At 41.6% G+C, this 27,210-nt stretch overlaps 1 long non-coding RNA gene across 2 annotated transcripts in view, besides 2 other annotated features; it reads right to left on the bottom strand.

Moving 5' to 3' along the window:
* Positions 1–14,158, bottom strand: part of LINC02934 (long intergenic non-protein coding RNA 2934) — a 298,411-nt gene extending 284,253 nt beyond the window's left edge. For both annotated transcript variants that reach the window (NR_187140.1, NR_187141.1), the window contains exon 1: positions 14,099–14,158. This is a non-coding gene — a long non-coding RNA (long intergenic non-protein coding RNA 2934). The remainder of the gene's footprint in view (positions 1–14,098) is intronic.
* Positions 13,915–14,415: an enhancer, noted in NCBI's record as "H3K4me1 hESC enhancer chr2:66016952-66017452 (GRCh37/hg19 assembly coordinates)". NCBI's record gives its function as "activates a minimal SCP1, AML or CMV promoter by ChIP-STARR-seq in naive and primed H9 embryonic stem cells {active_cell/tissue: H9 hESC(naive and primed)}" and the evidence as "EXISTENCE:reporter gene assay evidence [ECO:0000049][PMID:30033119]".
* Positions 25,792–25,992: a silencer, noted in NCBI's record as "peak3734 fragment used in MPRA reporter construct". NCBI's record gives its function as "represses an SCP1 promoter by STARR-seq MPRAs in K562 erythroleukemia cells {active_cell/tissue: K562}" and the evidence as "EXISTENCE:reporter gene assay evidence [ECO:0000049][PMID:32103011]".

Here is a 27,210-nt window from a genome sequence, read left to right as displayed (position 1 = left end):
AAACAGTACCAGCTATAATAAAAAGTTAATTTTATTTGAATTAGTTAATTTTCTGATTGTTGGTTTTGTTGGCTATCTTCCTTAGCCTTTAGTTTCTTCATATGGTTTGAAATTTAGCTTTTGAGGCTTATTTAAGTGAGAGAATTTTTGTGATTGCTTTGTCTTCACGCCCCTTCTCTGACTTTACCCATCTCTGTGTTTTCCTGCATCTGGCCTCCTATAGCCACTGTCCAGAACCTGGTTTGATCAAAGCAGTTTGAGGTCATTGCCCCTTGATGATGACAGATACCCCCAAATCACCCAAAGAGCAGCTTGATTTGGTTCAGGATCACAAGGCTCTGTCTTAGACCCCAATCTTCCCTAAGTTTGCAGATCCTTTTAAGCTATAGCCCTAACAGCAGCAAGTGGTATGTTTTTTTCTATTCTTCTTTTACAACTAGGTGTTGGAGTAGAGAGACCCACAGCCTTGCCTTTGGTTTCAAGCAGTAAGCCTAGATCCAACCTCCCTTCCTCCCAGTAAGTGTTTTTAGTCCCGGTTGGAGCCTAATTCTCAGCCAACACTATTTGCTCCTCAACCTGGGGCTAACCAGGCCTGGGTTTCATTTAGCTCTGCTCACCACCTTAGGTAGCTGCTCTATTACTTGTCTTGTTTCTGGGATTCGCTATGTCTTTTCGGTTTTGTCCTTTATAGTTTATATACAGTTATTATGTGTATACACATAATTGTTATGAAGGTAGGTCAAAGCATAGACTTCCTCTGAAGTCTTGGCCTGTGGACCCACCCTCACGTTTACAACTTACCACAAAGTATACATCACAAGGGCAGGGCCCCTAGCTGGCTAATTCCAGTACTGTATCTTTCATAATAGGTGCCAAATAAAAGTGTGCTGAATATATAAATGAATACAAATCATTTTCCTAAAAAGACAGAAATGCCTTCAGGCACCATGTTTCAGTTTTTCTAGTATACTACAAACTCTTAGGGACAAAAACTATGTCTAATCTATCACATTGCCTAGTTTATTACCCTGCAAATGGTAAATAGGCCATAAATATTCAAAGGGCCACACGTTTCTCCTGTGGATTTTTCATATGGCAAAAGGTAGTGACACCCCAGGTATATGCAGTGTTGCTCTAAAGGATTAATATCACCATCTTCTCCGTTGTTTTATAACATGTTGGTTCTTCCTTATAAACTATTTTTTTAAATGAATGCTTCTTAAGGAAAAATGTTTCGTCTGAGAGCAGAGATGGGCATGCTGAAGTGGAATATTTTCACTAGAATAATGTAAAAGTGGGAAATGTCTAACTGTAATTAGTCAAGAAATCAAATGAAAAACCTTTTCCTGCTGTCTTACAATGAGATCAGGGACCAAATGTAGAGGAAATGCTAAGTGATCACAATTCCTCTAGCTGAAATAACATTTTTCATACCGCAGACCAAAGGGCAAGGGGGACAAAGAAGTTGTCCTTGTTGATTAATTACTTTTGGAACCAGGCCCAGCATAAGGAAAGAGGAGAGCCTAGTGATAAAGCGACAGGTCCACTCTTTGTCCCCTCTGCCCTCCCAAGAAACGATTCACTGGTTTTCTGAAAGAAAAATGCACTTAGGTGCTTTAAACCATGATATCCATAAAGAAGAGACATTTCCATTTATTTCCCAAATGAATTCACACCCTTCCAATCAACAAACTCTTTATGGCTATATGTATTGAGCACTTACTGCATACCAGGTGCACTTACTGTATACTTTGGTGGTTACAGAAGAGTTAGAAAACCATCTCTTGAGAGGAGCAAGTTACACGTGACAAGCATGCCACGTAAGTTGCATCTTAATAAGTGCTACAGGCAAGTAAGGGAGGCGGAGGTCTGCAGGAGCAAAATGGATGCTGATGACTTCAGGAAGAGGTTAGAGATTCAAAAGACTTTGGTTAGACTTCCTATGGAAGATACTTAACATCTGTGGGCCTTAGCTTACTTATCTACTAAGTGAAGGATTTGTGTTAGTATTTATAAGTTTCTTTCCAGTTGAAACACTTACTAGTTCTCTTCTTTCCTGTCCCTCTCAGTGGGACACCTGTAACCTAGTAAACAGCCTCCATGGTCTAGAAAATCCTTTAGAACAGAGCAAGAGCAACCAGACAAACAGAAACTTCTCTCCTCCTTCAAAAAGATTCTAGGAGGGAAGGCTGAGAACAACCAGACCTAACTGAAGGACTAAAAATGGGATTCCAGGGGGCCAAAGACAGAAGATAAGTAGCACAGAGCTACAGAGCAGCACACTCTCAAATATGTAGGGGGATCACTTGCTTCAAATCCCTGGCCCTGATATGCCTCCATGGAAGGTGCTCTATGAAGAAAAATGGCATTTGAGATTGACAACTGATTAATATACAAGCTTGATTATATGCAAATCATCACTTGCTGTTAATTGTGATCTGATGTAACATAATTAACACATGTATTTAAAATAAATGTATATTTAATTGATATGCATATTTATAAAATGAATATTTACTTTTATATGTTGTCTTTTTTTTAATTGGGGGGTGAATTTCTTTCCCAAAGAAGTGAGGAGTTAAGGGACCCCATCAGGAACTAAGACAGAAAATAGCAACAAAGGAGTGAAAACTTGCCTTTGGTGCATGTAGTAGAGAAAGTAATGAGCTAGCAATCAGAAAGCCCGATTCTAGACCTGTCTCTGTCCCGTGTTGTGTAACTTTCTATAGCGTCAATTTCTATAACCATGAAAGAAAAGATTGGACCATTTCTAAGCTACCTTCTAGCTCTACAATTCTATTATAATCTCACAGAACGACTCTGACTTACAATTTCTTCTGTCAAAATGATTGGACTCTAACCACTGACAGCTCAGAGTCTCTGCTAGTAATTACTGGACCTAAAAATTGTACTCAGAAAGTTCCAAAAGAGTTCTGGAGCCTGAGGTCCCCCATCCAACCCCATAACACTCAAGAGAGCAGCCTGAGAACATAAACATGCATCTGTGGAACAAGAAGGCATGGAAGGTTCACCAGCAGAGGGCAGGGTGCTCAGAGACGGGCACCCAGGACTCATCCATTTTGAAGGAAAGGGAAAAGGAGGAATTATATAAGGCATAAGGCCTTGCCTAGAGATACTAGCTAAGTGTATGGGGTCTCTGATGAGTGGCTCTATGAAGAACAACATAAAAAAGAAAATACAATAGGCAAATGTATAATCTCCATTTCCTTCAGCAGACAAAACTACATAGAAAAAAAATCAATGCCTTTTTCATCATTAATGTAAGCAAAATCATTTTTTGCTCAATCTTTCACAAGTAAAGTGACTTGTAAAGTGTACGAGCCAACTGAATAGGAAGATAGCACTCCCATAAAAGTTTTTATAGGAGACCAGGGCCAGAGGATCACTTGAGGTAGTTGTATGAGACCAGCCTGGGCAACATAGACACTATCTCTACAAAAAATTCAAAATCAGCTGGGCATGGCAGCTACTGGAGAGGCTGAGGTGGGAGGATCACTTAAGCCCAGGAGTTCAAAGTTGCAAGAAGCTGTGTATTAGCCAGGGATCTCTAGTGTGACAGAACTAATAGGATAGATGTATATATAAAGGGGAGTTTATTAAGGAGTGTTGACTCACATGATCACAAGGTGAGGTCCCACAATAGGCCATCTGCAAGCTGAGGGGCACAGAAGCCGGTCAGAGTCCCAAAATCTCAAAAGTAGGGAAGCCTACAGTGCAGCCTTCAGTCTGTAGTTGAAGGACCAAGAGTAGAACTTGGAGTCCCATGTTCAAGGGCAGGAAGCATCCAGCATGGGAGAAAGATGCAGACCAGGAGGCTTAGCCAGTCTAGTCTTTCCACGTTCTTCTGCCTGCTTTTATTCTGGCCATGCTGGCAGCTGATTAGATGGCGCCCACCAAGATTGAAGGTGGATCTGCCTTTCCCAGTCCACTGACTCAAATGTTAATCTCCTTTGGCAACACCCTCATAGACACACCCAGGAACAACACTTTGTATCCTTCAATCCAGTCAAGTTGACACCCAATATTAACCATTACAAGCCGTGGTCAAGTGACACAGCAAGATCTTGTCTAAAAAAAATAAATAAATAAAAAGTTTTCAGTATGCTAAGGTTCTAATTATTTCTTGGCAATGTGATGGAGTGAAAAGAGCCTAATGACCTTGGTGTGCCTCTCTGTCCCACTCCTGGCTAGGTAGTAACCTTGTATAAGTTGCCTTTTTCATTCCTGCCCTCTCATCCCTCCTTCAACTACTTTCTTTTTGAAAAACACAACTTAACCATCAGTAAGCACATGTTCAAAAGACTGTCCCAGATTCAATGCTAGAATTACAAACTTGAATAAGACACTGTGTCCAAGGAGATTATAATCCAATGAAGAGGAAACTAATCGCAATGCAAAGAGAAGACAGCTGTTGTAGCAGTGTGGATTGTGTTCAAGGGCAGAGAAGGGGAAACAAGTGAACTTACCTGGAGAGAGACTGTTTAAAATTTTGGGTCTTGAAAAATTAGCAACTTTTCAATGAAGGTACAGGTGAATATGTCAATATGGTATGAGTCATCGTTATTTTAGTTGCCTTCTAGACCTCACCCTTCTGCCTATGATGCTTCTACAACTGACTGGGTGCAACAGACTTCCCTCTGCTCCTGGATGCCTTGAGAAAACTAACCGCACTGGGGCCTCTAAACCAGCCCCTCTCTGCACACTATTGTCTGAAGGCATTTGATCCTTGACCCAGCCCTTTCCTTGCTGCTGAAATGCATCGGATTCATTAATTAAGTATAGAGGGGACTTTTTTCATGGCAAATGCCTACACACAATGTAAGTTGCATTTTAGCCACTAAGCCAGGCCACAACTGGGCCACTGTCCATGTTCCATGGAAACTGGCTTACAGATCAAAAGAACTCTAGTGACAAATTCTGTTGGTCTATTGAAATCTACATGTTACTAATTGGCACAACCACCAGAAAAGAACAGCACACAAGCTCATACACACACACACAGAGACACAGCATTTTACTGTATGCTTCTACACATGCATTTCATCTGGGTAACAGCGCCTTTTGCAAGCAGATGGGGGAGAAAGAGACTTTAAAAGATGGATTCCTATTGTTCCACCAAATAAAACTGATCGAAGCCTCAGAGGAGAGAAAAACAAAGCCAGCTCTCTGAGGCTTTCCATCTACCCCTTCAGAAAATCATTGGCATCCCGGGCAATACCGAGAAAAGTATTAAAATTTGAGCAACACTGGTTTACTTGTTTATATGCATCCCCATAGAATCCCCCACCACGTCTACAGAAGCTTCAAAGGCTCCACAGCGAGACCCGTCAGGATGTGGGGAGAGGGAGAGAAAGACACTGCTCAAGCGTTTGGAGACCCAGCCCAGACATGCAGGCTCTCAGGCATCTGGTTATCCCAGCCTGACACCGCGCCTGCGATTTCAGACTGTTTAATTAATTCTGATAATACCACATCGCAGGTGCTGCAGGAAGTATGTTAATTTAAGATCACATCTTACCAATTCCCACAGGTTTCATTCGAACCTAATAAATGAAATAATCTGCACTGTGAACCCCTTGCTTACCTAATTAGGCCCAGGACGATGAAGCAGTCACACTTGGGTCATGTCAGTACCACTGGTCACCTTCAAAAGCATAACCGTGACCTGCCCATGGGCTCCTTCCCCAGGCTTCTACCATACGCAGATCAAAGCCAAACAAATAAGCGAGTACGTTATTCTTTCCCTACTAGCAACCCTGTTTTTTGTACACTCACGTATTTTCTTTCCTTGTCTTTTTAAATGCACCTATGATGCTAGATTCTGTGAAACCTCACTCTGTTTAAACTAAACGGAACTGTAGTTGTGCTTTCATATTATTTAATAATTACCATAGGATTCAGGTTATTTTTAACCGAAGGGTTATTTCTAACCATCAGATTTTTTCCACATTGATGAGGCATTCAAGGCGCCTGTCTGATTCTATCTGAACCAGTGTGATGGTAGCAAGATAAATACCATTATGCCTCCCCTGTCTCCCACCCACACACCTTCAGAAACTAGCCTTCTGTTGTGGGGTGGGTGTAACGCTGCCTGGAATCCTCTTCCCTCCTCCTCCACCCCTTTCCTCCACCCCTTTCCTCCACCCCTTGCTCACTTCCTTCATGTCCGTGTTCAAATGTTACTTGAGCAGCCAGGCCTTTCCTGACAATCCAAGAAAAAAGAGCAACTTTCATCCCTGCATCAGCACCCTGGCCTCCCTACACAAAATGATGATGTGGCAGCCACAATACCTTGCTGATTGGGATACAGTAGATGAATGATTATTAGCACTGGCTGCTCACTGGATTCACCTGGGGAGCTTTGACGTCACTGTCTAGGCCCCACCCACTGAGATCCTAATTCACCTGGTCTGCTTGAATTAGGCTGCTAGCATGAGCATATTAAATCTCCCCGAGATCAGAGGGGAGAAGCTTGAATGCTGTGAGTCAAACAGACTCAGCCAGGCCTGAGGGGTCATTTGATAGGGATGGTTTATTTTGAGTATCCACATAATCAGATAGGTCAATTATTTCCCCAATCATCACTAGATTGAGGAATACGTTATTTTTTAAAATTTCATTTTAAGTTCTGGGAAACCTGTGCAGGACGTGCAGGTTTGTTACACAGGTAAACGTGTGCCATAGTGGTTTGCTGCACCTATCAACCCATCACCTAGGTATTAAGCCCAGCATGCATTAGCTATTTATCCTGATGCTCTCCTTCCTTCCCCGACCCCCGACAGGCCCCAGTGTGTGTTGTTCCCCTCCCTGTGTCCATGTGTTCTCATTGGAAGAGGTTATTCTCACTTCACTTTGTTTTCCACAGACTCAAATGTCAGAACTCGCTGGTAGGAAGAATGTATCTTAATTCCTGGCTCCCAGCCTGTCTTCCCAATGGCCACTAAATGGTAATGACATCTAGCCAATGAGTATTTCCCTTTGGCCCAATGATGTTACAACTGCTTAAAGAAATTGAGGCAAGGTATAAAAAATATGACCTTCAACCCTCAGATGCCTTGTCAAGAAGGTAAAATACAGAGAAGAAAAGTTATTCAATTTCTGGGTAAGTTTGGGTCTTCGAAGTGCCACCTTCTCTTAACGGTTAGGTCCTTATTCTCTCCCCATTGGCCCAAACTCTGATTCTCCCCACTCCTTCCTTTAGCACAGCTGAAGTGAGATTTGACACAGAAAGCCAGCCTTTGCTGGAGGCAGAGCCCCAGGTACTTGTTTTTCCACTGGAGAGAGGATTTTCAGAGTGGCCCAGTCAGCAGCATCCCTCTCCAAATGGGCATTGACCTGACCTCAGTGTGGCTCCTTTTCCACACTGCTTGCAGGAGAGTCACTGCAAGTTGCTGGGCCAGTGGCTTCCCCCATTCCCCATTTTCTGAGCTTGACTTTGAACCAAAGTTGAACAAACCTCCGAACCTCAGAGGGGAAACCCAGAATACACAGCCAGATTTTTCTAACCCCTACTTGAAGTCATCAGACCCCCAGCGTATGCCTGAACTCAGCCAATGCTTGTTCAGCGACCAGCCTCAGCCTTGCTAAAAAATTCATAAACCACAGAACAGCTGGGCCACAGTCTGCTTTCAGAGCAAAGCCTCCACTATCAGGTTTTCATCTGGGCACTACTGAAGAACTGAGTATTTATTCCTGACAGAGACTTGAAAGAGGAAATCTTACTGGCTGTCTACTCAGAGTCACACAAGGACAGACTTGATGGGAATCCCATGCATATTCCAATGAGATAAAAGATATTATTCATTCCTAAAATGTCTTCAGAGACTCCATTAATGGAGAAATTCCAAGTGACAGATATAACCCAAAAAAATCCCCTCATATCTGCATACAATTGCATTAGAATGAATCAGGGGAAAGGATGCTTAATATTTAGGCCCTCCCTAAAATCATGTTTCTTTCCTTTACATCGCAAAAGATAAGAACTGCCTGGAGAAAGTGACAGAGGGGGAAAGAGATCCCCTGGAAAACATGTGGGACCAGTTAGACACTCCTTTTCCCCAACGGGAGACATTTCCTTAGGAGTTTGCCATATTTAGACAATTTCTATGGAGACTTGTTCTGCCAAGAATTTCCTCAGTCATGACAAGCTTGGTAAATATGACCTTGCTAACACAGTGAAACTCCATCTCTACTAAAAAATACAAAACATTAGCCGGGCGTGGTGGTGGGTGCCTGTAGTCCCAGCTGGGAGGCTGAGGCAGGAGAATGGCATGAACCTGGGAGGTGAGCTTGCAGTGAGCCGAGATCGCACCACTGCACTCCAGCCTGGGTGACAGAGCGAGACTCCGTCTCAAAAAAAAAAAAAAAAAAAAATTACCTTGCTATTATGCCATCAAGGTTCTAGGCATGGATGATCTTTCTAAATAGGCATTTTAAAAATTTATCCTTTCTTCAAAGACTATGTCTTAAGGAAGAAGGAGGAGAAACTAAATCTCTGAAAGCTTGTGCCCAATCAAATGGGGAGCCCAAAGCAAGATTCTTAGATTCAGGAAAACCAATTTTCTGATACGAGGGTTTGGTTTTGGGTTTTTTTTTTAACAAGGAAAGGTAATTTTCTTGCAGTTCACCAATCACAACTCTCTGATAACTAGCATATTATTATTGCACTACATTGGTAGTGCACTGGTAGTGCAACAATAATTACTGCCCATGATGGTGATCTTCAAGCCCTACAAGACTCTTTTTAGTTGTAACAATAAGATAATGTACTGTGCTTTTGATTGTTCTCAGACTTTGAAAACAAATAAAGCAATAATATGCAAAGCGATTCTAAGTTAATTGTCTTAATTCCATTCTACGTATATGCTAAGTAATGTGCCCAACTCAACAAATATTGGATGAATGGAAGGAAGGAAGGAAGGAAGGAAGGAAGGAAGGAAGGAAGGAAGGAAGGAAGGAAGGAAATTTTATTACAGCATAGAGATACCCTACCTGCCGTAGATAAACTGGCTCAGGGGAAAGCTGGTTAATTCAGGATCAGAAATTCCATTTTCATAATTCTAGTAACCCACATAAATTTATTGCTTATTTTCACAATCTATAGAAAGTCCCTAACAAAAATAAAAGGTGAAACAAGCAGAGTACAAGCTTTCAATTAGACCAACACTAGTCTGTGTGCCATAGACAATGCTTTACATTTGCGTCAGAACTTTATGTTTCAAATCACCTTCACAAACACTACTCTGGGTTCTCACAACAACCCTGTGAGACAAATGTGACAGGTAAATCATTACTATTTTCCAATAAGGTAGCAGAAGCCAAAAGAAATTAAATGCCTTGCTCCAGTCACACGGCTAGTTTGAGACAGGATCAGAATTAGATCTAGGAATCTTTTCATCCCAGTGGACTTCTCCAGACTGAGGGAGTTCTTCTGTTCACTGGAGAGTATGTCCTCTGTCCAGGAATAGAAGCAGGGGTTGAGCACAAGCTGAGGAGTCCACAGAACACTAGGCACACACAAAGTCAACCAATTTTCCAGAGTTAGGATACCATGATCTTGCTTATCCCTCCGCACACCATTGTTCTTACTCTTTTCCTTCTGGTTCTCCCTCATCCTTCACCACATCCTCTCCTCCTGTCAAATTCTTCCACAAGGTGTTCCCAGTTACCCTAGTCCAGGCACTTCTTCCTCTTTTAGCTCTTACAGTGGTACTTCTTGTGGCATCTGTTACATAGAACCTTGTCACATCTCTCACAGAGATATCTTTAATTTCAGTTGACATCTTGAGTTGTCATTTTACCTCATTGTGGGTATGCCCACAAGTGAACTGTACCTCCTCCAGGACAAGGAGGACATGTAGAGGACATCCACTGTTTCCAGCATACAACTCATGACTTCCATCTTGATTAGCATCCAAGTCCCCTTGTTCTGATTATTGCACCCCTGGTGAGGATCACTCCTCTCCACTCTCAGTCCCTATGACTTGGGGGTACCCAAAACCTTCTTCATATGCCAGAAATGGACACAGGATCCAACTCATGATCTTCCTGTACCAGAGATGGACACATGATCCAACCAAACAATGAGACTCAATTCTGAGGTCTTTGATGGAAGTGGAAAAGAGAACCTTGCTTTCTCCTGAGACTGCAAACAGGGATGAAGATTTAGGCCCAAGGGTGCTGAAAGCCTCATGTAGAGCCAAGCTCTGAATCCAGCACAGCACCGGAGAAAGCAGAAAAAAGAGATGAGCAATTACAAGGTCTGGATGAGAACACTTGAGTGTCTGGATCCAGCCATATCTAACCCCTGGACTTATGTGGATACATGAACCATATATTTCCTTTTTTTGTTTAAGTCGGTTAGAACTGGGTTTCAGCTGGGGTACCCTCATTTCTTTATAGGAAGGTCTTTGGAGGGCAATCTAATTTGGGGAGAGACTATGGGACTTTCTTAGAACTGAATATGAATAGCAAGCTTGTTGATTACAGATCAATAAACATAGGAAAGTTTGGGGGATTGGGGGGCTTTGTTTTATTGTGTTTTGTTTTTTGTAGAGAGGAGGTCTTGCTATGTTGCCCAGGCTGGTCTTGAACTCCTGAGCTCAAGCAATCCTCCCACCTCAGCCTCCCAAAATGCTGGGATAACAGGTGTGAGCCACCATACCCAGCCAAGAAAATTCTTAAAATGCTTTTATTCACAGTTTACAGAAGATTCAGAAAAATTTCACTGTCCATAGCAAATGGAAAGAATAATAATTACATAAAATTATATTAATATACTAGTCATGAAAAGCATTATTATTACTATCACTGTTCATCAATTCTTAGATGCACATTATTCTCACATTTTCATAATCCCTAAAATCAGAGTGTATCACGTAATCAATACGTTTTTATAATCTGTGGGCTTGAAATGAAGTCGAATTCTTCCAGAAAGGATTCTGCATTTGTTTCTGCCAAACTTACTTAAGCCCACTGGAAATTGATTTCTCTGCTTGAGAATTATTGGACCCCACCAATGGTGTAAATTCAGACTTTAGACCTGTGTGACTACAGGTTGGCAGGTTGAGTGTCCCTTTTCCAAAATGCTTGGGACCAGGAGTGTTTTGCTTTGCAGATTTTTTCAGATTCTGGAATATTTGTACATACATAATGAGATCTCTTGGGAGTGGGACTCAAATCTAAACATAAAATTCATTTCCTATACACCTTAGACACACAGTGTGAAGGTAATTTTCTGCATTATTTTTAATAGTTTTGTACACAAAACAGTTTTGATAACATTTTGACTGGAGCCTATTGTGTGACGTCCGGTGTAGAATTTGCCTCGTGTGGTATCATGTTGGAGCTCAAGAAGTTTTGGATTTTGGAGAATTTAGGATTTTGAATTTTCAGATTAAGGATGCTCCATCTGTATTAGATTATGGCTCAGATTCTCACAGAGACTTGTATTTTCTTCCCTCTGCAGAGGCCCAAGGCTGAGACATGCAAGTTTCCTTGCTGGCCCTGCTGGAGAATTTTCCTTACCCCTTTCACCGAGTGCGTAGCTCTTTGGTGTCCTGCCTATGAAGAGGTCTCCTATTAGACCTCCCATCTTAGATATTTTTTCTTTATGCAAGTGGTACATAAAATAACAGTTTTTTTTAACAATAGAGGGCATCTTAACGTTGATAAAACATTGTATTGTTTTTAATATTAGAATTGGTTTTGGGAAACAATGGAGATTATGAAGTTGAAGAGATAGAATCCTACTGAATTACCTCTTGATGCTGCCAAAAGTTCCCTTTCACTAGGGAGCAAAAAGTCTAGACTAACAGCAAACTGTGTTGTAAAAATCTTTCTAAACATCATTGAATCTAGAATAAGGCCAGAAACATAGTAATTGCTCAATAAAGGTTTCATTTCTGAATTAACTAAAGAATAACTAATTAGAACTTGATGAACCTAAAGGCAACCAAAGGGGCAGAGGAAATGTGCACCAGGGCAGCTCTTGAGCTGAATGTCTTCTAAGCACAAGCCCAAGATGTAGTCCCTGTTGAGAGGGGCTCTCTTTTCAAAAGTGCCCAATTAAATATCTCTCCATATTGTGTGTCACCACCGGGAACACAAGTGCCCACATGTCTAGAGGCACTAGATGATGCAATTAAAATGGTTTTCTGCCATTTCATTTTAACATTACTGGATACTTAGGTAGATTCTCAACTGCCCACCTTGCTAATAGTGGTTCCAGTACCAAATAAGTATTTCTTTTTATTCAGTTAAGCATCCAGAAATGCCACAAAATTACTTGCCAGCATTATAGAAAACGATTCCAGAGAAGGTTGAACAAGATGCAACCTTTCACCCTCTAACTCTATTACCACTGGGGTGAAACCTTCGTTACATCCAGATTTATAACCCTTCTCGTTACATAGTGCCTAGTGGTTCTGCAAGCACGAAGCCTGCATTTGTTGCCACAAAGAAAACATTTGCTCAGTGAATTCTCTTGGTCTTTATCTCCTCTCTCTTGAGAATTGTTAGAAAATAGAGCATTGACTCCCGGTCTCTCTCTTTCTCTCTTTCCCCTTAGAGCCTCTTGCTGTATAACAAGATTGTTAAAGACAAATTGCTAACCATCCCTCTTACACACACACCTCATTAAATTGGTTGCACAATTTTCTTTCTTTCTCCAGGGTTGCCGTAGGAATATAGCCATTTATAATAACTGCCACCGTTGAATGTAACTGCTGGGCTCCGGTGAGAGTGCGTATATACTCTTGTTTTGCAAAAGGCTTTCTTTCAGGTACAAGTAATTTAGTTCTGTTTCCTTAGATGAATGATTGGCACATTAGGAGACCTGAGGTCACCTGGGGTTCATGTCAGTTTTTAATGAATTCCTTGAAATGCTGGGAACTACACAAGAGACTTCTGAATGGGCATATCTTATAGGCGATTTGTCATTATCATCATCATCTTCAGCATTATTGAAAAGCTAATGTTAAAGGACAAGAGTAAGCCTCCCTCACCACCTCAGCTCACTCAATGACAATACCAAGTTTCCAAAAAAATTAATGAAAATCCAGGGAGGAAGCACATATGTCCGGCAGGGCACTTGCTCACATGTCAAGAGGCCTGGAGCGAGACTTTTTCTATGCCTCTCCTGTGTTATGGCCTTTGAGCCTCAGTTTCCCAATGTATGAAATGGAAATAAAAATATCTTCCAATCTATATAACAGGAATTCTAAAACCATTCCAAGGGTTGCTTTGCATGAAAGTGTTTTGGAATGTACAAAGCGGCAAGCACTTGGAAGGTATCATGATTGACATACTAATGGGCTCACACAATTTGGCAAATAGCCTCCTCTATGTGACTTGAAGGGGCTTAGGAATCAGAAACAAAAAGAACAGGAAGAGAAGGAATTCTGGTAGCAACACACTTGCTGGGATTCCTGGGGGCTCCAGAACCCAGTTCTGAACACCGTAGCCCATAGCATTTAGCGCCCTCTGCAGAGTCAGAGCCCAGTAAATTAAATACACCAGGTCATCCACCAAGCAACTTACCCGGAAGCCCATGAAACAGAAAACAGTCGCTGCAGATTGTGAGAGGGAATTATCACCAAACCAAAACAAGGTAAATGCCCGGACCCCGCCTAACGCGCACAGAAGTGAGAAAACACAAAGGGAAGCAAAGCCTGTCAGTGCTCAGCTCAGCACCCGGGCCCTTGCCGTCCCCAGCCCAGCCCTCCAGCCTCCATAGAAGCGTTCAAGCATCCGTCTCGGCGCCAGCCTGTTCCTAAGCCGGTGCTTCCACGCGCCCATGTTCAACAGCAGATGAGGGGCCTTGCCTGATTAATCCGTGTGACTAGAGCTGGCCTTGCTGCCCTGGGGTCTGGGCACACTCCCCCAACAGCAGCATCCCCCAGTCTCATCACAGCTGTCCTCCACTTGATTATATTGCAGCCACACAATGGACCCAACCCAGCCAAGGCCAGGTCCCACACTCTGTGGACATTCCTAGGAAGATCACCTTGGAGCCTGTCAGTCCCCCTGGCAGGGCCTGCCTTGCTCCCAGTCCACTGCCCCGTCCTCACCAACTCACCAGTCACGCAGCCGTGCCCCGCCACCATCACAGTCTGGCGGTAAACCACCCACAGCCACACTTCCGGTCAGCCGGTTCCGCAGGCAGCCGTATTACGGTGGAGAGCGCTGCTCAGCAAGTCGGAAGCCCAGGTTTCAGACCCCACCGTTCGTTAGTGGGTGGCATTCTGAGTGGAAACTGTTTCAAATTTTATTTTCTTCCCTTGAAAAAAATGAAATAACAGCACCTACCAACAGAGATGTCCTCAGCGTCGAGTGAATATATTTGAAAACGCTATGTAAAGTACAAGATGCTATAAAACTTAAGGTTTTGTTTTTTCAGTCGTCCAGAAGTAAAGATGTAGAATTCCTATTATTGGAATCTAGGCTCTCAATAATAATTTGTTAAATAATCGTGTGAATGCATGTAACTTTTATTTCCTTTTTTTCTTAAATAAAAGCTATAGGCTGTGCATGGTGGCTCACGCCTGTAATCCCAGCACTTTGGGAGGCCAAGGTGGGCAGATCATGAGGTCAGGAGATCGAGACCATCCTGGCTAACACGGTGAAACACCGTCTATATTAAAAATACAAAAAGTTAGCCAGGCATGGTGGCACACACCTGTAGTCCCAGCTACTCAGGAGGCTGAGGCAGGAGAATCGCTTGAACCCGGGAGGCGGAGGTTGCAGTGAGCTGAGATTGCACCACTACACTCCAGCCTGGGCTACAGAGCGAGACTCTGTCTCAAAAAAAAAAAAAAAAAAAACTATAAATCAGATGAAAGTATACATTAATCAGAGAGAGCTCTATCTACCTAGGATCCTAATAGTGATGTACATTTGTTTGTTTGTTTGAGACAGGGTCTCATTTTGTCACCCAGGCTGGAGTGCAGTGGCGCAATCTGGGCTCACAGCAGTCTCAACCTCCTGGGCTCAAGCAATCCTCCTGCCTCAACCTGCCAAGTAGCTGGAATTATAGGCACACACCACCACGTCCAGCTAATTTGTGTATGTTTTGTAGAGATGGGGTTTCACCATGTTACCCAGGCTGGTCTCAAACTCCTGAGCTCAAGTGATCCACCCACCTCAGCCTCCCAAAGTGCTAGGATAACAGCCATGAGCCACTGTGCCTGGCCTTAAATTTTTTAATAAATAACTTCTTACATACTTATGGCAACTGTTCCTTCCTCTAAAGCCCCACTATCAAGATCTATTGAAGGCCCCTCACAACACTCTCATGATTTATTTTTAAGGCCATTACCTCCTCGCTGGTCTCCCTGGCTCCTGCTGGGCTTGATGAGGCACGCAGCCAGGGGAGGCAGCCAGGCTTGTGAGCCATGAGTCTCAATAAACCTGAGTAACAGATGGAGGCAGGTTCTGGTCGAGGCTGAAGCCAGCCAAGGAAGTGGCCGAGGAAAGGAATGCCAAGTCATGAGGCTGAGATCAGGCTGGGTGAGGAGATAACCAGGCACATCCGAGCTGAGGGAGAAATCAGAATGGGAGGTGATGGACAGAAGGTGGGGTTGAGCAGTTGTGGGGAACTGAGGCAGAACAGAGGGTACCAGTTTCCCAGGCCATGGTGTAAGGCCAAATTGTATCAGCCTCAGTCTGACGCTTTTGAAGACCTTCGCTCCACCTTTCCCCAAGGCTAAAAATTGTCTGCCTTTTGCAGGTGGTCAGCCAGCAGCCCTCCGACATCATGGGTCTGCCCTACAGTCTGTTCTATGTTCAACTCACCCTCTTAGGGTCTACTTTGCTTACATTCCACTTTTGTGCCAAAGCTTCCAATGTCTTGCCCCAGCCTCTTATACAAATTCCATTCCCCTCACCTGAGTGCTCGGGGTTTACACATCTGGCCCCTGATGACCTATCGGCATTTCATCCTACGGAGTACCATGTCTTCTGCTCCAGGCATCCATCCTCCAAATCATCTGACCCCTTCCCATTCCCATGCTTGTTTACACCATCCCTCCCGTCTGGAAAGCCATTTACCTTCTCTATGCCTCACTAGATTCCATGTGTTCCTCAAGACTGTCAAAGAAAAATCAGAGTTAAAGTGATTAAAAGAATTCATTCAAGACTATTACTATAGGGAAAAGATAGCTCAGTATAGAGCTGGGCTCAATTCTGAACACAGTGTGGGCAACTCAGAATTTATAGCCGAGGAGCAGGGTGGGGGTTGGTGGATGGAAAATGACTAAGAGGAGACATCAAGGGTAAGGGAGACTCTGGCTAAACAAGACTCTTGCTGAAGATAGATGCCAGGGTGATCAGACATTACCTGGGGATGGTAAAGGAACCCAATCAGATATGGAAGGGGATTAGATATGGAGGGTGGGGGGTTTTGGCTAAACCAATTTAGCAGAGTTTTTGTTCAACTTGATTTTACAAGGAAGTGTACAGATGGACTTAGGGAAAGAAGATTTAAGAGCCTCACTAATGTTTGGTCAAGCAAAGAATTTTTGTCAAGACACAATGCAAACCCCTCCTCCTCGGTGAAGCATTCCAGAATTGCTGGACATACAATTGTTGATTCTCTGAATCTCTATAGCTCCAATCCTGTTGTCAGTTTGGGATAAATGTCACTTATAGGAGATTGTCGCATGGTTATCTTTTCTTATTTGTATTATTTATATCAGTGAAAATCTTGTATCTCTCAAGTACCCAGGAATGGTGCCCCATTTATAGCAACCTTCAATAAATATCTATTAATTGGTCTATTGAAATTGTTGGCTTTACCCTTCCTTCTATCTGGCCTCAGAGAGAGAATTCTAAGGCAGGAGACAGCAAAGTAATGAAACTCAACACACTCTGGAATCAGACTACCAAGTTTCAAATCTTGGTGTCACTGCTTACTTACCACCTGTGTGACCTCAGGAAATTACTTAACCTCTGTATGCCTAAACCCCACCCATAGAGTTGCTATGATACCTAAATAAACTAACCCACATAAAGTACTTATATTCTTACCAACATGCAGTAAACACTTAATAAAAGATGCTATTATTATTAAGGTAAGGTTTAAAAATACATTTGATGTTTGAGAGTTTTGTATCTTTTATTTGGAGTTGTACTATGAGCTGAAAGAACCTATAAAAATGTGAATAATTAAATTTATCACGTCTCTTTGAATGCCTGAATCAACTCAAAATGTTTTTCTTGCATATGGACTGATATTGTGCAATTTCTCAAGGCTCATTAAACATATTTTGGTTGACTCTCCAGAGTTCAGTGTAAGTTTTACAGTCTCAGAATCTATAAATGAACTAAAGTCTTCTGATTCAACAAAAGAAGCTATGAGAGACATGGAGGAAGGGGGAAGCAAATCTGCCTTTCCACTATCCTTCAATTGTTCACACTCCCCAAAATGGGGTTTGATCATTTTTAATAACGAAAATGTTGCCATAGACCAATTCAAAATCGATTTATTAAAATTGACAGGTTATCCAATCCTTTACCATAAAAGGATGTACCCACACTGTCTGCAAGCTCTTCTCCAAGAAACCTGTGGTTGCAAATGCCTTCCTAGAATGCTATCAATTTAAATGATTGAAAAAAACAACACATAATAAGTGACAGATTTTTCAAATCAGATAAAGATGGGAACTAGATTATCTGTCTGGGGGTGATTGATAGATTGCAGCAATAATAAATTCACTTGAAGACACTGGATCAATTTTTAATCAAGCCAAGAATTATTATTGCAGAAAGATAAAATGACCCATGAGAAGATGCCTTAATTTTCCACCAATCAAATTATAGCCTTTCTAAATAAGATGTAATGAGATCCATGGAATATCCAGGTTACACATCCCACCTAATTACCCATGTTCCCTGTCATGTAGTGATATAGTAGTGGTAAACTGACCTCTGAATTTGCCCAGATGCAAAGGTAATTAGTTTTTCCACCAGGCTCTAGTGAAAATAACAGCAGTGACACATGTCATCTCCTTCTACCAAGTCACAGTCTCCGAGGTGTTTGTTCTTAAAATATACAGGATATGACCTACTGGGTAATAAACTACACAGTCATTAAGTGAAGCTTGTGTCTGACAGAAAAACAGCCGCCATCCCTAAGTTGAGAAAAAAGGGCCTGGAGGTGAAGCAAATCAGTCTACACTTGACATTAAACTTTATCAGCAGGGAATGAAGCCCCCTCTCGCCCTCCCACAGGAACCACCAATCAGGAAATGGAGCTTGTGATTACCGACTATTGTGAAGACCCTTGTGAAGAGGCCAAGTTCACGTGCTTCATGTGCTCCCTTGCTCCCTCCACCCTTTCAGGCTAAAACACCTCGATTTGGGGTGTCTCCCAACTCAATTTCCTTTCCTCATCCAAAGGCTACTACTGAGAAAGAGCATCCGTGTAAATCTAGGTATTCCCCTGGGAGAACCCCCATTGCACCGGTCACCATTCATGCATTCATTCAACAAACACCCACCATTGAGAGCAGACATGACTCCTTTCCTTTCTTCAATTCTTGAAACAGATCATCTCACCAACCTGGGTCAAACTTCATCAAATGTATTCATTCTTCTTCTCTGTTGTGAAATATATAACCAAGCCCTTCTGGCATAAGGATTGCCTATATTTATCAGTCATTCAGCTTATCACTTCTTACAATCCACTCTTAATCTTTGACTAATGCTTGTGTGCCCCTGTAAAGAGACCACTGGTAAATTAGTGGCCCAGAGTCATGTTTAGGCATCCATTGTTAATGGCAATCAGCTACTGATTTGAAATGAGGTCTCTTTAATTTATTCCTGTCATTAAATCTTTTGAAGAACTGCTGACATTTCACCAAGAGGATGCAAATTGCAAAGATCTTGCATTTTCAAACACAGTGCAAGGCTACCCCAGAGTTTCCCATTTGATAGCTCTCAAAGACGACATAAAATCTTTTAAGCTAAGGAACGGTAAACTTTCACAAGGCTTACTGTCCAGAACTCAATGAATGCATTTACTATGAGATTTTATTTTCCCCCAAAAGATGTTTGTCTAAGTTTTGTCTTTCTAATCACTACGTATACATTTAACCCATTTTTGGTAATGTGTGATCCTTCAAACCACCAAATTCAGGGCATGCTTAAAGTAAAGGAAAAATAACGGTTTAAAAAAAAGAAGACATTGCCAACTATCCTAATGTAACACAAGATGTCATTTCATTCAATTGCAGATCTCAGCACTGATAATCCCAAAATTTATTTAATAATAATAACGAACATAAATTAGTTTTGTTATTTTTTGTTATGTAAATATATTTCATACAACCAGGACTAATTTTTATCCCTTCTAAAATTCATGTTGAAGCCCTAATCCCCAGTGTGATAATATTAGGATATGGGGACCTTGGGAGGTAGATTTAGATGAGATCATGAAGGTAGGGGCCCCATGGTAGGATTATGCCCTTATAGAAAGAGAAAGAGACACCAGAGCCTTCTCTCTTTCTGCTATGTGAGAATACAGCCAGGAAGAGAGCCTTCACCAAGAACCAAAACTGCTGGCACCTTGATCTTGGACTTCCAAGCCTCCAGAACTGGAGAAATAAATGCCTGTTGTTTAAGCCACCCTGTCTATAGTATTCTGTTATAGCAGCTCAAATACATTATAAATATATTACATAACAGTTATGTTATACATTGTATTATACTTAATATATAATAATGTATAATGCGAAATAAAATCAACTAACACTCTTTCAGGCACTCTGTTAACAATTTTATATTCATTGTCTCAACCCAACAGCTCAAGAGGTAACTACTCTAATTTTACAGATGGAAGAATCAAGGCTTGAAGAGTACAGCTAAAATGCACAAGGTTTCACAAATAATGAGAACCCAGGCAATCTTCACACTTAACCACTAAAATACAAAGTGAGCTTTCTGGGAAATTGGTCAAGTTCATTTTCAGTTAGCCTTTAACTAGGATTATAATTCCTAGACAACAGTCACTGCTATGATATCCCACTAGTGATTTCTCCCCCATTTTTATGATATCTTAGCTCTGGATATTACTGCCTCCTCCAAGCACTCTATCTTAGAAATAATTGGCTCAAGCACAAAGAGAGTTATTCTCAAATTAATGAATTCCAGCAATTCATCGTTTTGCTACCTCTTCCTTGCTAATTTATTAATAAGAATTACAATGAAATTGGCATGCTGTATAAATTCTTCCATATTCTCTTTACCTTAAAATATCATCCCTGTTGGTCTCAAAAGGTGATGCATTAAGATTTATGGTTTATTACCAGTAACATAGCTATAGCCAATTGACCATAAAAGCCAACTATTTTTAAGTAATTCAAAATGCCCATTGTAGTGAATGGAATATTTGCCTGAATATATTTTTGGAATGTTAATATTTTCAAATATTCCTTTTTATTCTCTGTATTAATTATCTGGATATAGGCAAGCAGCTCATTAATTCAACAGTAAATACTATCACAAATCTATATCTTCTATCAGTGAAAATTCTATTAAATGGTACAGCATTACAAATCTATTGAGTCTCATTATCTAAACAAGTTAATATAAAAATAGTTTTGTCATTCTTATGTGTTGATATGGCCAAAAAGACTTTATATCAACCAACGATTTTCTACACATCACTTTTATTGACTGTCTTCCTATTCTTAAAGTAAGGAAAACATTCCTTCATAGGATGACCAGCCACCCCAGCTTGCCCAAGCCTGTCCTGGTTTTAACACTGAACATTCTGTATCGCAGGAAACGCCTCCGTCCCAGGCTTTTCCTAAATCTTCCTTCAGCCACTCTCCCCAGAGTTAATCCATTTTAATACCATAAGTCTATTCTTAAAATGTGTTGAAAGCAACATTGATACACATTGCAAGAGGCTTTTTCCAAAATGGTATGATTCCCAATATGTACAGCTCTGAAGAAATTGTTTCCAGCACACAGATCAACACAACAGAACCTGCTAGCCAAGACCCTGGATACTGAGTGCCTTTCACCTGAAAACTAAGACAGGATGACAGCAGTGAAAAGAATTCAAACTTGTTCAGACACACCCCTCTTTAACTCAAGAAAGTCCGATGAAGGAAGGTTTTAGCCTGTCACCAAGAAAGTAAAAGTAGAAAGATATTCATATTTGGAGTGAGAAAAGATAAAACAAATTTAGTACTGAATAAGGTGAATTTGAGGTATCTTCAGGAGAGTCAAACAGATATATCCAGTAGATATTCATATATAAGGCTCTAGGGCTGAGATGAGATGTTGGGCTCGAAAGATGGGTTTAAGGATTATTGGATTATAGGTGCAAGTTGAAGTGGATGAGAAGAAGTGGATTGGACAAGAAGATCTGGGGAGACTAAATGAGAAAGACGGGGCAGATGATGTATATCTCACCTAATTTCTTGAATCATATTGGTTCTTAAACTGCCTGACCCTGGATTCTACTCAACTGATTTCCTGTATATTCACCTTGCTGAATTTGAATTTGAATTGGCTGGTTATTCTTCTGCTGGTTGGACCACCCTGAACCACTCCTGGGAGTCCAGTTTTTCTGACTTCCTCAAGGCATCCTCTCTGTAAGCATACTCTAAGGTTTGTCCTGGGAGCCCTGTAGTAGTTAAAGCTCATATTTGAGAAATTTTTTATTCCTCATTCCCTCTCTCTCTCTTTCTCTTTCTGTCTTTTTTTCTTTGTTTCAACAAATATCTATTGAGCACCAATCACAAGCCAGGCACTATTCCAGGTACTAGAAGCTATGAACCAGAAAGCACGGCATTACAACACATACTCAAAGGTTATATTTAACAGAAATGAGCTAATGTGTTATTTTTAGTGATTTTTCAATTTTGCTTTATTAAGAAAATAGTGGCAGAGCTGTTGACATCTCTTGAACTTGCTCTTCTAAAGAGAAGCTGAAGAGCACCATATGGCTACTGAAGGTGTAGATGTTCTTTCTAAGTCATTAAGCACTAAAGCATTGAATAAACATGAAATGTGTTGTTAACGGAAAACTCTAGAGTTTATAGCAAGCTCAAGTCTCAAAACTATACCAATGCAGCCCTCAGACCTCACTTTTTCCAATGTAACTATCCATTCATTCAGTACTCCTTAGAACAAAACTATACCATCCTTTATAACACCCACATTTCCCCCATTCAGTAGTTTGAAACCTGCTGTCTAGTGGCAATAAATGTTTCCATGGGCTATGGTGTAAAGGTCATTGGGAGGCTTTCTGTAATGTCTCTACTTGTTAAGGGAAGTTCACTGAGATAAGAAGGCATATGGTTGGCTCTTGTTGAGAAACCTAGGCCATTTGAATCATACAGTAGTAAATGTCTTCCTCACTTCCAAGAAGGAAAGAAAAATGATTCTTAATTAAATGTTTAATGTTTATTATAGCTAGAATAATAGTTTTAGGTCAAATTTATGATGCACTAGATTTGTACTTTTTATGTTATATAGACTTTATAGTTCATCGAAATTTCTTATATAATCAATGTGTATAGTATATTTGAGCCCATTTATATGACAGAGCTTAATTTTATTCTCTAAAATTATTACAAAGGTTTACAGCTGTCACATCTTTGCTTTTACGACATATTTTTACCACATCTATGGTTTATTTAATGGCAAGTCTTTGGTCAGGATTGCAATGCCCAATTATTATATTGTTCTTATGGGAAAATGTGACTGCTTTACAACACAATTTCCAGGAATGGATTGTGATGAAAGGCAAAGATTAATTGTGCCCTTGAAAGGAACAACTCAAGTGTGTATGTGCACGTGTGTGTGTGTGTGTTTTGCGTATGTAGAACCCCTCTCTAATCAAAACATATCACCAGGCACCCTCTTCCAACAGGCTTTGATGGACAGGCTCTGAACTTTTTTGAGATTTTTTGTTTGCACCAGTGGAACAGAGCTCACCTGAAAAATCCACAACTCCAAAGTTCAAGTCAGAGTCTTCAGTGTGACTCTGGATGTTCCTTGATATGCCTGATTCCTCAAATTTTACTTTATTTACTCCTGTACACATATGTTCCATTCTTCAGAAAAGATTCTCTTGGGGATACTATTTAATATACCTAGAAAATTGCATATGCAGCCATTTTTGAAATGAAAAGTGCCTGATATGGTTTGGCTGTGTCCCCACCCAAATCTCACCTTGAATTGTAATAATCCCCACATGTCAAGGGTGGGGCCAGGTGGAGATAATTGAACCATGGGGGCAGTTTCCTGCATACTGTTCTTGTGGTAGTGAATAAGTCTCATAAGATCTGATGGTTTTATAAATGGGAGTTCCCCTACACAAGCTCTCTTACTTGCCACCATGTAAGATGTGACTTTCCTCCTCATTCTCTTTCTGCCATGATTATGAGGCCTCCCCAACCACGTGGAACTGTGAGTCAATTAAACCTCTTTTCTTCATAAATTACACAGTCTCAGTATGTCTTTATTAGCAGCGTGAGAACAGACTAACATAGTGCCCTTCTCATTTGTTTAAAAAGATAATGTTTTTAAAATATGATAAATGAATGAGTAAATAATTGCAGATGTCTTGAAAGTTTGGGATATCTAATAAGAAAGAAAGGTGGAGAATTTCTGATCAGCTTCCACCACACCAATGCATTTGAAACATCAGAACAGGATTAGGCCAGGAAACTAAGTAAACTCACAGATAACTCATCCGTTCACATCCTGAATTTAAGCAACTTCTGTTCAGTACCACTTTTTGATGGTTCAAGCCCCAGGACATGGCTTGATTGGCAGTGGTAGCAGCAAAGTTCATGCCAGGAAATGTACCTGGAAGTAAGGGGGGAAGACCCCTGTCAGACCAAAATAACAGGTGCTGTGGTTCTAGTGGTAAGATTGGCTCGCTGGCCCAAGAATACAGGTGTGAAAGCTGGTGAATTATATTGGGGAAAATGGCAAGTATCCAGTCAGTATATCAGTTAGATTCAGCCTCAGCCAACAGAAACCACTCTAGCTAATTTCAGCACAAAGTGATTCATTACTAGGCATTAGGTAGCTTCAAACACCCATGCAGAGCTTCCAGGAATAATTCCCAATGTCCTGCCACAATGGAGGAAAATATCACCACTGCAGCCAGCAGGAAGGTGTGAGTGTAGAACATGGTACCCCTGATTTACACCAAAAAGTGAATGCCTCATACTCTGCCTCTCACTCCATCCTGCTCAGCTCTGAAACCTAGTCTTGTACATAGGTAGGACCAACATAGTACACAGAAACTGAACTCTAAGGGAGTTTTTTCAAGTAGCTTTTTGTTTTCCAGCATCTGTAGCACAAGAGGTTAGAATGATGAGATCACAGATGGGAAGGTTGGAGTCAATACTGGAAATCTGAATCAGCAACACAGCAAGGGAGAGTCAGGAACAAGGATAATATGCAAGAAAGAAGAAAACCTGTTCTTATCCAAGAAGGTGGGCTAGCCCAAGGGGGGAAAATCAAGGATGGGAATTTTCATAAGAAGCCAGGAATCAGGCATGGAGGGTATGTGATAGAGTCAACAACTGTAATTTCTCCCTAAGAGGAAAGGCTTACTAGCAGTCAAATATCATGTGTTTGTTTGTTTGTTAATCTAAATGGGCATATAAAAGCTTCCTAGTTTGATCCCTCACATCCTTTAAGGAGCCAAAGCTGAAGCAGGGAACGTTGGTTGGTGGTCAAACAAGAGGTGGTCTTAACTGAACCCCTAGCCATAGACTTGTTAATTCAAGTCATGGCATCTTCTTTAACCCTTTACAACCTGCCCTCCCTATGGGACAACCTGCTATGGCATTCAGGAAACAGACAGGGCTTGGCAGGTGGCAGAGGTTCCATCAAAGGGAAACTGAGGACAAAGTGGCTTGCTCATCCAGTGAAAAAGTTGGCTTCTGCTCTCTGCAATGTCAGCTGCAGCTGTCACTTCCTCAGGCTTCTCTCAGCAGTGTCTCACCTGCTGGACATTGAAAGGAGGTTGCCAGTCCCCAAACTGCAGAAATTGGAAACAGCCCAGACCTTCTTCGTGTGTGTACTCCCAGCCTTTATGAGCCAATGTTTTCACAACCATTCTCAATAAAACCTCACCAATCTGAGTTTAGGGAGCAGACCTCTGACACCAGTACACTCCAATGTTCTCTGAAGCCAGCTCTACTCTTGTATCCCAGGGGTCTGCCCAACGGACAATGATAAAACTGACAATGATAAAACAATGTTGCTGATATTCAAGGCATCTCTCCATATTGTATTTACTACAACCTTGGAATAGAGGTAGGAAAAATATGAGGATTCCCCTTTAAAGATGAGGAAACTGGGATTCAGCATAGATGAGGAATCTGCCCAAGGTATGTTAGTCCCAGACCAGACACCAGGCCCACTAATTACAGTGCCAGAGGTGACACCCTTCACTCTAAGCTAGAGCATCTGCTGTTTAGAGCCAGATCCCAGGAGCAAACAAAGAGGATTCGGAGGCCCACCCTGAGCCAGACCAGGTCTTCAGAAGTTAGAGTACTGAGCCTCCCCAAGAAACCTTGAAATGCTTCATCGCAAAGAAAACTTCTTAAGGCACATCAATCTTTTCTAGGTCATAGTTGGGCAAAATAATTTAACATAATTCTGAAAACAATTTTAGAATTGAATGGGAAAGAATGGGAAAGGGGAAGGGGAGAGAGTCTAATGGCAATTCCCAACTTTTTTTGGTGTCTACACCCTATTGAAGTCTGCCTGGCTTTAAGACCTTCTCCCATAGTGCTTTCCAAAGTGCTGGACAGATGTGCTGCTATGGTTTGAATAGGGTTTGTTTGGCTCCACCAAGTCTCATGGTGAAATCCGATCTCAGTGTTGGAGGTGGAGCCTGGTAGGAGGTGTTTGGGACTGGGGGTGGATTCCCCATGAATGTTGCAGTGCCCTTCTCTCAGGAGTGAGTGAGTTATCACTCACCGCTTCCATGAGAACTGGTTGTTGAGAGAGCCTGCCACTGGCCCCTGCCTGCTTCCTCTCTTTCCCTGTGGTCTCTGCACACACAGGCTCCCCTTTGTCTTCCTGCAGGAGTGGAAGCAGCCTGAGGGCCTCACCAGATGCCCAATCTTGAACCTTCCAGCCAGCAGAATTGTGAGTCAAATCAACCTTTTTTCTTTATAAATTACCCAGCCTCGGGCATTCCTTTATGGGAGCACAACAGACTGAGACACATCTTTCAATTTATTACTAATTTTGCTTTCAGAATTTCCCCACACTGCCTCAAGATAATTGAAGATGCTTTAGTAGAAGGCTTATATGATAAAGTGGGTAAAATAGGAAACCTATTGCCCTCAAACCCAAAACAGTCACTCAACATTTGTGGGCCCGAAGAAACTAGAAACCCATAAAAGATGAGCTTAAGGGCAAAAGGGGGAGGAAGAAAGTGAAAATAAAGTAGAAACACACACATTTTACCTTTAACAAACACATTACTATAGGAGAGAACTTGCTGGCTCTTCCATCCCAAATCAGCTTAATAATTTTAAGTGGTAACATTCATTGAGGGCACGTTTTGTGCCAGGCACTACTGCTAAGCCCTTGACATGCATTTCACTTGACAACACCCTGGGAAGAAATAAGTATTGTTCCCATTTTACAGAAAATAAAAATAAGAAGTGAAACTAAGTCGTGCTTATCAAATGTAATGTGTAAATGAATGATCTGAGGATCTTGATAAAATGCAAATTTTGAAGTCGGGCATAGTGGCTCACACCTGTAATCCCAGCACTTTTGGAGGCCTAGGCCAGCAGATTGCTTGAGTTAGGAGTTCAGACCAACCTGGCCAACATGATGAAACCCCATCTCTACTAAAATTACAAAAATTAGCCAGGTGGTAGCACACGCCTGTAATCCCAGCTATTCAGGAGGCTGAGGCATGAGAATCTCTTGAACCTGGGAGATGGAGGTTGCAGTGAGCAGAGATCGTGCCACTGCACTCCAGCCTCAGGGACAGAGCGAGACTCTGTCTAAAAAAAGAAAATGCAAATTTTGATTCAGTAGGTATGAATGGGACACCAACCCAGGACTTCAAGGTCCCAGGTAATATTGGTCCAAGGAATTAAGCAGCAAGGGATTAAGGAACTTGCCAAAGGTTAAACAGCTGGAAATGGTGGAAGCCAGATGCAAAATCATTAAGCCTATGTGTAC

This window comes from Homo sapiens, chromosome 2, assembly GCF_000001405.40.
Source record: "Homo sapiens chromosome 2, GRCh38.p14 Primary Assembly".
Lineage (NCBI taxonomy): Eukaryota > Metazoa > Chordata > Mammalia > Primates > Hominidae > Homo > Homo sapiens.
Note: the sequence above shows the minus strand (reverse complement) of the source record. Positions and strands in the feature narration are given on the sequence as shown.